This window comes from Homo sapiens, chromosome 8, assembly GCF_000001405.40.
Source record: "Homo sapiens chromosome 8, GRCh38.p14 Primary Assembly".
NCBI classification, from domain to species: Eukaryota; Metazoa; Chordata; class Mammalia; order Primates; family Hominidae; genus Homo; species Homo sapiens.
The window spans coordinates 13462169-13479511 of record NC_000008.11 but is presented as its reverse complement, the minus strand read 5'-3'; the positions used below and the strand labels follow the sequence as shown (position 1 = coordinate 13479511).

The 17343-nt window shown below is 38.5% G+C and overlaps 1 protein-coding gene and 1 long non-coding RNA gene across 7 annotated transcripts in view; one reads left to right on the top strand and one right to left on the bottom strand.

The window, feature by feature from the left end:
* Nucleotides 1-17343, top strand: part of DLC1 (DLC1 Rho GTPase activating protein) — a 521260-nt gene that overhangs the window by 125109 nt on the left and 378808 nt on the right. The window lies entirely within an intron of this gene.
* Nucleotides 937-16873, bottom strand: LOC124901890 (uncharacterized). The gene is made up of 3 exons (XR_007060831.1): nt 16698-16873; nt 2589-2664; nt 937-2257 (listed from the first exon to the last, which is right to left on the bottom strand). It is a non-coding gene; the product is annotated as an uncharacterized LOC124901890 (long non-coding RNA).

Here is a 17343-nt window from a genome sequence, read left to right as displayed (position 1 = left end):
CTTCAGAAATATTCCTTCCAATATTTTATGAGTGTTGCCACCTCCCATTGTTTCTGTTGTTTCAGCCCAAAATTCCTATTAGATTTTTTTGTAATAACTTGTATCTATGTCTCTTAACTTCCACTCATTATGCGACCTTTTTTTGTATTTTTGCTTTGCTTATTGTGAGATCTTCTTGACTCACTGGACCAGATCAGCAGCTTGGTCTTCAGATATATCCATTTTATTATTCACTGTCCTTTGAAACATTTATTGTTGCAGTCATATTTTTAACTTTCTTATTTTCCTTCAGTTACCTAGTCAACAAACAAATATTAAGTGCTTAAAATGTACTGAGCACTCTTCCAGATGGAAGGGATACAAAATAACATCTTTTCTCCAAAGGACCTACTTTCTACAGGAGGGAAGCATAAAATAAAACAGTAAACCAACTAAGGGGTGGAATGAACTAATAAGAGAAAAGAATCAGAGTGGAATCCTAGAAGCTGGGTGAAAAAGCTGTTTCTGAAAGGAAAGTAAGATCAAATGTCTCAAATGCTATGCATAGACCCAAGTAGACCAGAAGAAAACTGACATTTGATAACAGGAGGCCAACAGGCCAGCTTGTTTAGGCAAGTTTTTGTGGGAGCATCTGCTTATTTTCAGTGGGTTCAAGAACAAAAAGGAGAACGAGAATTGAAGAAAGTGAGCAAAGTTATGTATTAAAAATTCAATAATTGCTATAAAAGAAAACAAAGAAAGCCAGAGAGGGATTTTTTTAAAATAATTGTATTGGGAGATATTTGAACATTATATTGGAAGCTGATAGAAATGATTCAGTAGAGGAAATATTATTGATACCTGAGGAGAGACAGTTCTAGCGGTGATAGCCTTGAACTGATGAGAAGGGATGGGATCCAGGGCTCGGAGGAAAGACTGGGCTTAGACTTTAGCTAAGAGTTCATCCCTTAACGGGATGTCTTGCATTTTTTAGCTATGAGTTCATCTTTGAACAGAAGGGCTAGACTTTAGCTAAGAGTTCATCCCTGAACAGGAGAGAAGGTGAAGAATATGCACTGACATAGATTGAATATGTGTCCCTGTCCAAATCTCATGTCGAATTGTAATCTCAAATGCCAGAGTTGGGACCTGGTGGGAGGTTTCTGGGTCATGGGAATGGATCCCTCAGGCTTGGTGATGCCTTGGTGATAGTGAGTGAGTTCTTCTGAGTTCTGATCGTTTAAAAGTGTGTGGCACCTCCACCTACCCCCTTCTCTCTCTCACTCACTCCTGCTTTCATCATGTGATGTGCCTGCTCCCCCTTCACTTTCCACCATGATTGTAAGCTTCCTAAGGCCTCCCTGAGCAGATGCCTATACCATGCTTCCTGTATAACCTGCAGAACCATAAGCCAGTTAAACCTCTCTTCTTTATAAATTACCCAGTCTCGGGTATTTCTTTATAGCAATGCGAGAACAACCTAATACATGGACGGTGTTCTCTGCCTGGTTTTCCCTAGTACCATGTTCATGTTTTACAAATGTAATATTTTCTCAAATCTCTCTGAAAATACTAATTACAGGGATTCTCTTAGAGGTTTTTTAATATGTTATTGGTATTACCTGAATCATTCCTTTTTGTGTAGCAGTCTGTTTCTCTACTATTGATTTTTTTTTTCTAACGATTTAGTGATCTTGGTTGATCTTTCCTAGTTATGACTAAAGAAAATTGGTTGGGTGGTTAGGATATGATTTCTCTATGACTGGTGTAGGAATATATTATTTATGTGTCTTCATTTCTCGTCTCCATCCCATCCAAATCCTCATCTCAGCATGTAGAAGTGATATGATAAATTGTTTGCCATCTCTCTGGATCCAGTATTCTCTCTTATACAAGCTCATTCTACACAGTCTAATCAGATTTAATCTTCCTAAGAAAGCATCATCACCAGATTATTTCCATTTGTAAAAGCACTAACCTATGTCTTGGTTTTTTATCAAATGTAGATCATATTTCCCAGCCTGCATTTTTAAATCCTCTGCGATTAGTCCTTGTTAAAATTTGAAGCCCTACTCTCACTACTATAGCAAAGTCTTATAGAAATACAATGTACATCCGTGCTCCTGGTCTCCCACGGGCTCTTACTGCTTCTCAGTAGTGGCTGTACATACCTGATTACCTCACACCAGCACTTACCGCGTAACTGTTTCTGTGTCTTCCACTTTCTTTAAATTACCAAAGCTACATCTTCCACGCTGTCTTCTTGAAGATATCTTCACTGAGGAAGGAAGAAAAATGAATGGGGATTAGTATTTTTTTTTTCATCTTGTTTGAGAATAAACCTGAGGCCCTGATTTGGGGTTACTACATGCTCTTTGAAGGCAGAGAGCATGTGCTTCCTCTGCATAGCTTCAGTAACTGACATGGAATAGTGAGAAATAGGAAGCTGTCTAGCAGACGGATGGGTGAATAGATGCACAAAGGAGTGAGTCCATATTCCCTAAGCCACAATCCACCATACAACTCTCTGTTTTCAGTAAGGTTGATGTAGGAGAAAAGCACAACTTCCCTTGCTATGTACCCAGAAAAAGAGAAAAAAATTCACTTACTGTGCTGTCTTCTTATGTCCTTGGCACTGATATTTTAATCATCTTCTTTGATTTCACTTACATGAAAAGGTGTATCCTACAATAAAATTATGATAATTTGCATAAATATGTACATGTGTTAATTCAATCACTAATTCATTAATTCAGTGGGTTTTTTTACCGTTGAACATTTGTCATTGTGTTCAAAGATGAACAAGATATTCAAAGTTGAATAAATGATTGTCATTCTCCTCAAGAAACTAAGAATAAAAACTTATAAGAAAAACTTTCATAACTCTAACATCTTATGGCACATGTTCCTTTCTATTCATTCTGGTTTGTCTGGACCACTCTGGTCTGAGTCTGTTGTTTCCACATCCTGCCTGGTTAGCTCCCCACGTCCCTCTCTGGAATGTCCGAGTTAGGTGATAAATTACATGGTTGACTATGTATTAGCCATACTAAAAAAAAAAACACTGCACTGTATGTGGATGTGAAAATGAAAATATGTCTCATCTCCTCTTCAAACTTTAAACTTCTTAAGGGCATAAGAAAATTATGTTCGAATTACTGAAATACACTTGCTTATGTTTTCAATCTTCCTAATACTTTCAAAACCTCAATCCAGATTTTTTAATAGAGATTAAACTTGGGATAATTAGTATAATGATTTAAAATATCACGAAACAAGGCTATTATCATTGGATGTTCACAGAAAGCCATTAAAAACTTTTATAAAGCAATGAGTGATGCTAATCAGGGTTCTGAAGCAGTATTATAAGCACTTCTTATTTATTCTATCTAAAGCACAAAAAGTGTAAAATGCTTTTTGCTTTCAACCGGATGTATTTTCCTCATCACAATTAACCCCTGCAGTTTCTTTCTGCTTCACGAGGCAACCTACTTACTTCTCCTATGCCCTAAGAAATGGTAAACATTATCTTGTGGAAGTTTAGTTTCACAGGTTCAGTATTCAGTGGAGAAATGGTTATGAAATAATGACCCAAGTATGTGGGAACTGCAGAAAATACCAGATTGAAGGGAGTGAAGGCAGTTTAGGTTCATTCTCGTCTTAAGAGTCTGCATAATTTCACTCTAGTTTTCCAAGATGGCATGCATAGTCTCCTTCCCATCACAAGTTCAGTTCTTGACCCCACACAGCCAACACTTGCCACTCACTGCAGCCTCACTTTTAGCCTCATGTACCTCAGTCCTTAGTATGTTCTTCTAGGGATTTGAGTACCAGCCTCAGGGTTTGTATTTTCCCCAGTTCACCTCCAAGCTGGAATACACTGAGGAATCTCCTCTGGAAGAGAGTTTGTGGTGACAGTTATGTCTTTCTTTTCGTTGTGAAACTACTACTGTTTATAATCTATATTTTCTATGGTCGCTATTCAGAATAGGTTATTTTATTCACTTTCTTTGTTTAATTCACTAAGTAAGTCCAAAAATCTCCATGGCTTCTGGGCACACGCTAAGAATAACAGGAAATTTATTATTTTAACCACTGTGCTTAGCCAGAAACCCAATATAAAAGATGGCCTTTTACTGGGCCCTCAAAATCAGAAGATTAAAGTCCTTTTGAACCAGAATGGAAAATCAATATTTTCTTCAAAGTAAAGATTTTTTTGAAATAAACTTTAATAATTAAGATATCTGTGCTATATCGTAGGGAACACCTTTTTTTAAAGGCTGTTTTAACAAAATTCAACCCTGATATAAACGTTTGAGGCATGACAGAAAAAACAGCAATCAATATTTAGAAACTTATTTTCTTTTTAAACTGAAATTATGATCTGATCTCTTTGGCTTATTAAAAAAAAATGTCATTTTGCTGGATGCAGTGGCTCACAGCTGTAATCCTGGCACTTAGGGAGGCTGAAGTGGATGGATCACTTGAGTCCAGGAGTTCAAGACCAGCCTGGGCAATATGGCGAAACTCTTTCTCAACAACCACAAAAATGCAAAAATTAGCTAAGCGTGGTGGAGCATTAACTGAAAAGTCCACAGTCCTAAGTCTCATCTGAGACAAGGCAAGTGCCTTCTGCCTATGAGCCTGTAAAATCAAAAGCAAGTTAGTTACTTCCTAGATACAATGAGGATTCAGGCATTGGGTAAATGCTGCCATTCCAAATGGGAGAAATTGGCCAAAACAAAGGGGCTACAGGCCCCTTGCAAGTCCGAAATCCAATGGAGCAGTCACATCTTAAAACTCCAAAGCGATCTTCTTTGACTGTATGTCTCACATCCAGATGAGGCTGGTGCAAGAGGTGTGTTCCTATGATCTTGAGTGGCTCCACCCGTGTGGCTCCGCCCATGTGGCTTTGCAGGTTTTAGCCCCTCTCCCAGCTGCTTTCACGGGCTGGTGTTGAGTGCAGCTTCTCCAGGCACACGATGCAAGTTGTGGGTGGATCTACCATTCTGGGGTCTGGAGGACAGTGGCCCTTTTCTCACAGCTCCACTAGGCAGTGCCCCAGTAGGGACTCTACTTGGGGGTTCTGACCCCACATTTTCCTTCTGCACTGCCCTAGCAGAAGTTCTCCAGGAGGGCCTCACCCCTGCAGCAAACTTCTTCCTGGACATCCAGGTGTTTCCATACATCCTCTGAAATCTAGGCAGAGGTTTCCAATCCCCAATTCTTGACTTCTGCACACCCACAGACTCAACACCATGTGGAAGCTGCCAAGACTTGGGTCTTGTACCCTCTGAAGCCCAAGCTGTACCTTGGCTCCTCTTATTCATGGCTGGAGCAGCTGGGACACAGGCCACCAAATCCCCAGACTGCACACAGCATGAGGACCCTGGGCCTGGCCCACAAAACCATTTCTTCCTCCTAGGCCTCTGGGCCATTGATGGGAGGGGCTGCCATGAAGACCTGTGACATGCCCTGGAGACATTTTCCCCACTGTCTTGGGGATTAACATTTGGCTCCTCGTTACTTATGCAAATTTCTGCAGCTGGCTTGAATTTCTCCTCGGAAAATGGGATTTTCTTTTCTATCACATTGTCAGGCTGCAAATATTCCAAACTTTAATACTCTGCTTTCTTTATAAAACTGAATGCCTTTAACAGCACCCAAGACACCTCTTGAATACTTTGCTGCTTAGAAATTTCTTCCACCAGATAACAAATCATCTCTCTCAAGTTCAAAGTTCCAAAAATCTCTAGCGAAGGGGAAAAATGCTACCAGTCTCTTTGCTAAAACATAACAAGAGTCACCTTTGTTCCAGTTCCCAACAAGTTCCTCATTTCCATCTGAGACCACTTCAGCCTGGACTTTATTGTCCATATTACTATCAGCATTTTGGGCAAAGCCATTCAACAAGTCTCTAGAAAGTTCTGAACTTTTCCACATTTTCCTGTCTTCTTCTGAGCCTTCCAAACTGTTCTAACCCCTGCCCGTTACCCAGTTCCAAATATGTTTCCACATTTTTGGGTATATACAGCAGCACCCCGCTCTACTGGTACCAATTTACTGTATCATGGCAGAAGGAAGAAGAAGCAAGTCACATCTTAGATGGATAGCATCAGGCAAAACAAGAGAGCCTGTGCAGGGAAACCCCCGTTTTTAAAACCATCAGATCTCGTGAGACTTATTCACTATCACGGGAACAGCATGGGAAAGACCTGCCCCCATGATTCAATTACCTCCCACCAGGTCCTTCCCACAACATGTGGGAATTAAACATGAGATTTGGGTGGGGACACAACCAAATCATATCAGCCACTAAAGAAGGACTTCAAGAATTCTCTACTGAAAACCTGTCTTCCTGTTTCCATGCAGATGGTATACTCATAAATAGTACCTGAACACTGGGTGTCTCTTCCTGCACATCAAGTCTGCATATCACCCCCTGACCTGCATAATAATAGTCAGCACCACAAACAGTTTAGCCCTTGGTGGTTCTCTAATTCCTTCTGTGTCTCTTCAACTATAACTTCTTAGTTCAAAGGTAGATATTTCTTTTTTTCCTTACTCTTATTATGACTAGTATTCAGGTACTCAGTAAATATTTATTTGTTAATTGATAGATTATCTGTAGTGCTGAGTGAAATGTTTACCCTGCCCAAAAATAAAGAGGAAGAAGAAAGAAAATAAATTTATAATGGCTATATACTTACACAGCACTTGCAGTAATACCCTCATTAAAATGATTAGTGGTTATAACACAGTTTAATTATTTGATAGTCAATTCCTGCATTTCTTCTGAATGGGGAATCCCTCCTACTAGGAGGAACATTTGAATCACTCTGATTTGGCAAATGGCATAGTCTTGTTTAAGACACTAGCATTCCCTGCCAATTGAGGCCCAAGGCTGGTTCTTCCCAATGAAACATGAACCAGCAGAGCATGAGGGGGTTTCAACTATGTCCTAGGGGACTACTACTAAAGATTTCTGGGGACACAGGCCAATTCTCACAGTATGTCAAGGATTCCGAAAGATTAATGGTCATTTGTCCAAGATATGGAATGAATTTCTACGCAAGAATATGAATCAATTTCAAACAGTTTGGAGTAAGTTATAGAAAACTAAACATTGGATAAAAACAGAAATATATCTACAAAATTTCCACCTTCTCATTCCCTCACTCATTCCCCTCCCCCAAGAAAATGAATGAACCAACACTCCCTTCATTTAATGTACATATGTGTGTATACACGCATTTAAATCTGTACTGAGAACAGCAATCTTTTCTTCTGGAAGGAGACTCAGATTCCTAAGGGGAAGGATATTGCTCTCAGTCTCTCAACCATTCCCTGGGAAAGTTAAAAATAAGTCCTGCTGAAAAAAATAAGTTGGCGCTTGTTATTTGAGAAAATTGCTTTATTCCAGGAACTGCCTCATGTAGCAGAAATTTATTTACCATCTGTGTGGACTTTAAAAATTTTCCATCTTAACTGATACACAACTGAAATAGAAACAGACTTTCCGTGCGTAGGTTTTGCACAGGCCTCAATTTTTTGAAGGGTGTTAGCTCAGAAACTTTTGGGATTTTTGTGGTCCCCAGAGTGGGAGAGCTCCATGGCTGCTCCTCGGCCTTGAGATCTCCTTCTGGGGAAGAGCCCAGGCTGATGTCACCCAGTGAGCTTGGGAGTGGCTTCAGCGTGGGGGTGGAAGGGAGTGAGATAGGATTTGCCAGGAAGCATTCCAGGGACTTTGCTGAAAGGCTGCTTTTCTTTTTTTCTCTTTCTCTCTTTCTCCTTTCCTCCCTTTCATCCTGCCCTTTCTCTCTCCCTTCTCTCTTTTTTTAACTTTTATTTTAAGTTCAGGGGTACAAGCGTGGGTTTGTTACATAGGTAAACTCGTGTCATAGGGTTTTGTTGTACAGATCATTTCATCACCCAGGTATTGAGCCTTGTACCCATTCGCTATTTTTCCTTCTCTTTCTATTTTTCCCTCCCTCCTTCCCTCCCTCCCTCCCTCCTTTCCCTCCCTCCTTTCCCTGCCTCCCTTCCTTCCTTCCTTCCTTCATTCCTTCCTTCCTCACTCTTTTTTCCACAACATAAATTGTATATACCAAGGGTGTATGACAGTGTTTTGCTCTATGAATACATTGTGGAATAATGGCCACAATCAATCTAATTAACATATCCATCACCTTATATAGTTACCATTTTCTCTTTTTTTTTTTTGGTGAGAACATTTAAGACCTATCCTCTTAGCAAATTTCAAGTATACAATTCAGTATCGTTAACTATTTTCACACGGCTGTACGTTAGGTCTCCAGAATAGTATCCATCCAGACTAATTAAAACTTTGTACCCCTTGATCAGTGCCTCCCCATTTCTCCCTCCCCCCAACCCCTGACAACTACCATTCTAGCCACCATTCTACTCACTATTTCTATGAATTTGACCATTGTAGACTCTAAAAATAATTGAGAACATGCAGTATCTGTCTGTGTGTGGCTTATTTCATTTGCATACTATTTTCCAGATTCATCCATGTTGTAGCATGTCAGGATTTCCTTCTATTTTTGGCTAAATAATATTCCATTGTATGCATGCACGTGTATGGGTGTGTATGTATATCAAGTTATCTTTATCCATTTGTCCATTCATTCATTGATGGACACTTAGGTGTCACTTGGCTACTGTGAATAAAGCTGCAGTGAACATGGGGTGCCAACATCTTTTCAAGGTACTGATTTCCTTTCCTTTGTATATATACAGAGTAGTGGGATTGCTGGCTCATGCAGTTCTATTATCCATTTTTTAGGACCTCCATACTGTTTTCCATATGGCTATATGGCTATACTTTTTTCCATATGGCTATACTAATTTGCATTCCCACCAACAGTGTACAAAAGTTTCCTTTTCTCCACGCTTTCACCAACACTTATTCTAATAACCATCCCAACAGGTGTGGGGTAATATTTCACTGTGCTTTTAATTTGTATTTCCTTGATGATTAGTGATGGCAAGCACCTCTTAATATACCTGTTGACCATTTCTATGTCTTCTTTGGAGAAATGTCTATTCATGTCCTTTGTCCATTTTTTAATGAGGTTATTAGGAGGGGTTTGGCTCTTTGGGGCTTTCTGTTGTTTGTTTGGTTGTTTTTTATTTTTATTGAGTTATATGAACTCCTTATATGTTTAGATAGGAATCTCCTAATGGATAAGATATATGGTTTGCAAGTATTTTCTCCCAATCTGTTATAGTTAGCTAGTACATTGTGCTTAAAAGATAAAAATAAAAGCCCTTTGAGAAATAAATTACCTTATTTCTGAAGTACTTTTAACTTATGTAGTCAGATAAGACAAATATGCTTTCTTCCTTTCCAGCTGTATCAAAGGATTATTTTATTCAAAAGTTTTATTAAAATATTCCACAAGAGGAAGTAATGGTTCACCAAAGGGGGAAAAAAATAAGGTTGAATGGGTGGCTGAGCACAAGGGAATTTATTGTTAGATGGTACTTTATATAAATGAAATAAAAATTGAGGGAAATCCAAATGCCACTTTCTATACAAAATAAGCTGCCCTGCCTGGCTATTTTCCCACAATATTGAGCTGTAATACCATTATTCTGGAGGGCAGAAACTAGAATTTCTTATATATTTAATTTTCTTCATAATATGTGCTTTCTCTTCAGGAAATCTCAGAATCTTTGGGGCATTTGCATATCCACATAGACTTTCAGCAAAACAATATGTTTTTCTAGAAAGGCATTGTAACAACTATTAGAAGGTCAAAATCATACCAAGTTATGTAGTCTATATATCTCAATAATATCTTTCAATCATTTATTATTGCACATTTTTATGCTTATCTTAACCTTCAAACACAGATTTCAATAAAACTTTTAGGGAATGAAAAATTATACAACATATCTATCATTTACCTTTGTGAATATCTATAATTCCTGCGATTTGAATAATTACTATATGTCAGCCCCAAGCCTAGACTCTTTATGAACAGTTTTGCTTTTAATGGCCACAATGTAGAAACTGGTACAAATTGATGAAAAAACTGAAGCCCTGAAAAATAAGCAACCTTTTGCAGGCCACAGAGCAATTCAGTTACAGCTATGACTCAGAGCTCAGGGAGTCAGAGCTCCACAGACCATTATTCTGCCCATGGTACAGACTTTTGGAACAGTCACTAATGTGAAAACCCAATCTTAATGGCATATATAGAATTTATTTTTCAAAGCAGTATTGATCTCAGTTTTTAAGTCTTTAAACACAGAAAAATTTAGAGCTTTATAATAAGAAAAATATCCAACGTGAGCTAGAAAAGGAATGATATAAACTCAATTAAAATGAAGAAAGAAAATTATTAAGATACAAGCAAAAATCTGGGAATAAAAAGCAGACACAGGCTGGGCGCGGTGGCTCACGCCTGTAATCCCAGCACTTTGGGAGGCTGAGGCAGGCAGATCACGAGGTCAGGCGTTCGAGACCATCCTGGCCAACATCGTGAAACCCCATCTCCACTAAAATTACAAAAATTAGCTGAGCGTGATGGCGCATGCCTGCAGTCCCAGCTATTCGGGAGGCTGAGGCAGGAGAATCACTTGAACCCGGGAGGCCGAGGTTGCAGTGAACCAAGATTGCACCACTGCACTCCAGCCTGGCAACAGAGCGAGACTCCATCTTAAAAAAAAAAAAAAAAAAAAAAAAAAAAGCAGACATAAAATTGGGAGAATCAACAACAACTAAAAAGCCAATCCTTTGATTTGAAAACTCTACAGATAAATGAATATGTCAACCTCCATCAAGGTAAGAAAGAAGAAACAAATAATATTAGAAATAAAAAGTGGCAGCCTGACATGCTGATGCACCTCTGTAACCCTAGCACTTCGGGAGGCTGAGGTGGGAGGAGTGCTTGAAGCCAGGGATTTAAGACCAGCCTGGGCAACATAGTAATACCCCATCTCTGCAAAAAATTTGTTAAATTAGGCAAGCACGGTGGTGCACATCTGTAGTCCTAGCTATCTGGGAGGTGGTGGATTGTTAGAGACCAGGTGTTCAAGGCCACAGTGACCTATGATCCCACCACCATACTCCGGCCTGGGATCATAATACCAGACTCCAGCCTGGGCCTCAGAGCAAGACAGAAAAGGAGAGGGGAGGGGAGGGGAGGGGAGGGGAGGGGAATGGGGGGAAGGGAAAGAGAGAGAAAAGAAAGGAAAAAAGAACTATTATTACCGATGAAGTAAAGATTAAGAAGGTAAGAGAATACGATGTAAATGTTTAAGTTAATAAATTTGAAAATTTAAATGAAATGGACAAATTACTGGAAAAGTATTACTTAGCTAAATGGAATTGAGGAAAATTATAATTTTCCAACACTTTTTCCGAAAGTGTTTAAAATTCTTCTATAAATAAAATGCCAAGTCCAGATGATTTTACAAGTGAATTTTAACCATCTTTGAAGAAACAGATTCTTTCGATTTCTTGTAAACTCTTCTAGAGAAAGAAAAGAACGAATGTCAGTCATAAACATAGGTGCAAAAAACAAAACATAAACAAAATATTAAACAGATTCAGCTGCATAAAACCACTTAAACACCTTAACCAAATTGGGTTTATCCCAGGAATAAATGGAATGGGCATTTTACTATTAGAAAAATCTATATATGTTATTTTAAAATTTGTATAATACTTATTAACAGATGAAAGGAGAAAAAAATTTATGATCATATGAAGAGATGCAGAAAAAGTATTTGGAAAAAGTTGACATCTATTGATTGATTAATTGATTTGGGACAGGAGCTGTCTGTGTTACCCAGGCTGGAATGCAGTAGCACAGTCATACCTCATTGCAGCCTCAACCTCTTGGGCTCAAGCAATCCTCTCACCTCAACCTCCCAAGTAGCTGGGACCATAGGCACGTACCATCACACTTGGCTGATTTTTTGTAAAGACAGGGTCTCTCTATGATGGACTCAAGCAATCCTCCCACTTTGGCCTCCCAAAGTGCTAGGATTACAGGTGTGAGCCACTATATCCAGTCCAACATCCATTAAAAAGAAAAAAAAAGGAATATAAGAAGAGACTAGAACTACCTTAACCTAACAAATTGATAGCTACAGAAAAAGGAGAGGGGAGGGGAGAGGAGGGGAGGGGAAGAAGAGAAAACTCTAACAAATAGCATTCCAAATGGGAACATACTATCATTGTCTCTCTTCAACTTGAAGTGGAACTACATTCCAACGGGGCAGGTGAAAAATCAAATTTTTGAAGCTGATTGTCTACTAAGTAAGCCCTCTAAGAATAATCAGGCAATTATTTGGAAATAAGAAAAGGATTTAGCAAACCTGTGAAAGTTTAGAAAATGTACATTTTTAAGATTGTCATTTTCAAAAACAACAGGAACTGTAAGTTACAAAGGAGTAAATCTTTATGTGTTGTACATTTGCATGTTATTCATTGGTGTAGGAAATCAATGAAACATGAGTGAAACATATTAAAGAAGATCTAAAATAAGTAGAGGGATATGTCATACTCACATATAGAGTCAATAACGTGGAGGGGTTTTTTTTTTGTGAAATAGTAGACAACCACTGTTAACTGACTCTGACATTTGATGTATTAGACTTTTCAGTTATTGCCAGTCTACAGGGTGTAAAACGGTACCTCATTATGACTTTAATTTGCATTTCTCTAATTTCCAGCAAGTTTGAGTTTTTAATGATTAAAAAATAAAGCCTGAAAAAATCTAATGTACATAGAACTTTGGTGTATGATAAAGGTATCCAGGAAGATCAGTTAGGAAAGAGATATATTTTTTACCTCTAATTTTGTGTCGTAGTTTCTCTTAGTACAGTGGCAATAAACTCTAGCCCTGCTCTGATGGGGCTCCAGGGAAGATGGTTGTGGATGTTTACAAGGTGCCTCCATGGGATACTTCATTAGGTAGACGGCCTAGTATCTAAGTATCTGACCTGTGACCAGGTATCTCTCCCACAGGAAATGTTGATACTGGCAGATATTCTTCTGGCTCTTGTCTAACGTGTGTTCTCTTTATTTCTACCAAGATAGCGACTCTGTAGGAGAGCTCTGGCCAGGAGGAGAGTTAGGTTAGAGTGTGTCAAGTGAGACACAGAGGAGGCAACTCAACAAAACACATGAAACAACAGAAGTGTTTTATTACTCACAGATCACAGAGAAAGAGGGCAGCACCCTTGCAGGGCCAACAGGAAGTGGGGGTATTGCGTCCAGAACACGCAGGCTCAGCGAGCAGGTAGGTAGCAAGAGAGAGAGGAAGTGACCTGTGGATGATGGCCTTTATTGGGGCCCGGGGTGTTACCTAAGCAGGATTCCCATGGGGGTTCTAACTGGTAGGTTTAGAACAAGCAGGTGTGAGCTCTGTGGAGTCACATTGTGGCTGTGTGCTTGTCGTTGCAGTATATCTGCCCCGTCTATGCCCAGTGAGGACATCAGTGGGGTGAGTCAAGTAGGTTGCATCTAGCTGCCCCCTAGGGAGGAGGTCACCAGGAGGTGGTTGTATAATCTGTATAAAGGCAGGTATCTGGATTGATCACCTTGAGGAAATGGAAGGTTGTAGAAACTGGAAACTGTGTCAAGGGTGACAAAGTCCTGATTCTAACTAACCCTGGTTCTGGTATGAGAACCAGGACATTGGTTCTCACAGAACCAATGAGAGGCATTGGAGGGGCATATGGTAAGGAGTTCATAAATAACATAGAAAGAATACTAAAAAGTTATTTCTTAGAAAAGATGGATATATTTGAATATCTTAAAATTTAGAAAATCTATTTAGAGAAACACAGTATAAGGAAATAATTTTTTAAAATAAAATGACAGTAGAAATTAGCAACATTTAGAAACAAAGAATAGTATTCAAATACTAATGAGAATGTCCTTTAAAACAATAAAAAAATACAAATAACCCAGAAGAAGAACGGGCAAAAAAATGGATATTTTATAGAACAGGAAACCCATATTGACAATAAATAAATAAAAAGAATATCAAACTCTTGAAATCAGAGAAATGCAAATTAAAGTCATAGTGACGTACCATTTCACTCTCTCTAGATTGGCACAATTAAAATGTCAAATACACCAAGTGCCAGAGTCAGGATCAACAGGAACTCCCTATACATTCTAGGTATCAATATAACTGATACAATAATATTAGGAAAAAAATTTGGCATTATCTCTTAAATGTAACCATTCACATACTCCAAAAATTAGGAACTTCACTCCTAGAAGTGTGTCCTAGAAACACTCGATTTTGTTCTCCAGGAAAGGTGGACAAGAATATTAATTGCATTACTGCTCATAATAATTAAATACTAGAAATAATCCAAAAGACCACGGACAACAGAATGGACAAATACTTTGTAGCATATCAATACAATGGCATATCATACAGATATGAACTCACTTAACTTATTCAACCTACAACACTAGAATTTTGTAAAGTAACATTGCAGGGAGCTATGCATGGTGGCATGCACCTGTAGTTCAAGCTACTCAGGAGGCTGAGGTGGGAAGATCAGCCCAGGAGATTACTAACAGCCTGAGCAACATAGTGAGTCCCTGTTTTTAAATAATATTGATATAAATAGTAGTAGTAGTGGTGGTAATGTTGCTGGCAGTAATGGGGTGAGTTTCCAAGTATTATACATTTATATAGCTGTAAAACAGCACTAACTAAAACCTTATTTAAGCATAAATATATATATATATATATATATATAAATATATATATATATATATAATTTAAAATTCTATATTTTTTAAAAAAGCAAGTAATAAAAAACAAAACCAAAAAAATTAGTGGAGGGTTATTCCATTGAGGGAGGTGGGGACAGGAGAGGAGAGGAGCACAAAGGTAAATGGAAGTCATTGGTAATTTTCCATTTCCATGGTGGCGGGGGGTGGATTCACAGGGGATCATTGTAATATTATGGGTTATAATTTACATATATGGGACATATGTTTCGTGTATCAACTGATGTATTAAAAGGCAAAAAAGAGAAACATTTAATGTGATAACAAATGTGATTGCGTTTAACCATAAAGATTTAGGCAGTTTTTTATTGCTGTTCTTTAAATTGTTATTTTTGAGATTTATGTTTCCTAATTAGATTGCAAATGCTCAAAGGCAAGGATAATGACTTATAATTCTAACTAACACATGGTCAAGAGGATACATGAATGCATTCAGTCAGTGAAAGAAATAAAGAGTAGCTACTGTTGCTTTTGTGTAAATCTCAATTACCTCTGACCCTGGGCACTTGGCCTTCTTCACCACACATCTAGCCCTCCAGATTAAGAAGACAAAGATCCATCTGCCTAAAAAGCCCAGGGTTTTAAGAAGCTTTGTTTCTCTGTGTCCTCCAAGAAATCCAACAACAACCCTGCTGGTTTCCCCCGGCCTCAGCCCACATCAATGTGCCCTGCAATTTTTTTCTTGCATTTTGCCTATATCTTGAGTCTTTCCTAACTCTGGGAAAACTTTTCACTGTGCTCAAATTTCATCTTTTTCTCTCTTCTTTTTATTTCAGTTTATCTCCTTCACTTATTTCATCCCTGGGGCTACAGACAAGGAAATAGGTTAGCTCCATTTTTCCTTCTGGCTCTTTCTGAGCTCTTTCGTGTCCCCTTGAAAAGAACTTTTACTCTCTCCCCAGATGGTCCTCTTTCCCTAACAGAAACTCTCTAGGGAAGGATGATAATCCCAGTCTTTAAAGACATAGGTCCTGGGAATCCGGCAAAAAGTCAGGTTCCTGTTTCCTCATCAGAGAATAATAAGCCAAAAATAATAACTATGAGTGGCTATTAGAACAACGTCCTTTCCCCATGACCAGAAGTGACTAGCCCCAATTTGGAGCAAACCAAGCACAAAAGAATTCTTGTGTCTATTTTATGAGAAATCTTTACCAAATTCACTACATTCAACAGGCCTATTTCAAAGGTAAACACAAGTAAAGCCTTTTCATGAACAAACATCCATAAGAAATCAATGGGAAAAACACCGTAGGAAATATTCTGTTAGTCTGAATATGTATCAGACTTTTAGGTATATTTATTCCTTAAATCAGACCTGAAGAAAGTACTCCATGTCCTAACAGGTCTTATTTTTAAAATATTCTCTTTCAATGATTAATCTCTGTTACCTTACAGCAAAGAGGTTACAATCACCCAAGTATTATTCTCCTTTGCAGCTAATAGAATCTGAAACACTTGATCATGATCGAGATACAAATTTCAGTAATCATATTCCCACAAGAACTGCAAATCTGACAGATATTCAGTCACACCTAGTTACTATGATAGGTAAGTCTGTTGTGTAGTTCCCTAAATGCCGGCAACCAGATAAAAAAATAAAATAAATAAATAAATAAAACCAGCTCATAAACTACCTTTGCTTGTTTTTTGTTTGTTTTTTAAGACTATGTAAGAGGCTATGTTGGATAGTCAATATATTTCAGTTTGAAATTGCCAGATGCATGTTGCCTGTGATTCCAAAGTTTTAAGGCCAGTTACTTCTGATTTATTTTTATTCTTTGTGCTAATGATACCTATGCATCATCATAAGCAACAATAAAACCATAGGGGTAGCTATAGCAACTGATACACTATGCGTTCAACGTTCTTTTTTAAACACTGCTGGAAGAGAGTGAGCTCTTCACTACCTTGTAGTTACCTTGATTCCAATCTGGTGAATGTCTTCTGTTTTCCAAAAGCTGTTTAACTTAGATATAAAGAACAGACATATCTGCAATAAGAACAATTTACCAAGAATAAGAATAGTAGGCCGGGCGCGGTGGCTCACGCCTGTAATCCCAGCACTTTGGGAGACCGAGGCAGGCAGATCATGAAGTCAGGAGATCGAGACCATCCTGGCTAACACAGTGAAACCCTGTCTCTACTGAAAAATACAAAAAAAAATAGCTGGGCGTGGTGGCGGACACCTGTAGTCCCACCTACTCGGGAGGCTGGGGCAGGAGAATGGCGTGAACCTGGGAGGCGGAGCTTGCAGTGAGCCAAGATCGCGCCACTGCACTCCAGCCTGGGCTGTCGCCAGCCAGCCAGACTCCGTCTCAAAAAAAAAAAAAAAAAAAGAATAGTAATGGTATTTTATTCCTCTTGTTCAGGATACATTGTCAGCCAAGTTACAAAAGAAAAGTTCCCAGGTGGATTTAGGGGTTTTCAGACATCCTTGGGTCATATGGCATATGTTATTAGACACTACAGGATAAAATGACAAATAAAAAATTGGTAAATTTTCAATAAAAATTTTCTTGAATGAGTTTGGATAGAATTTGTACAAAATAAGTTGAAAATATATT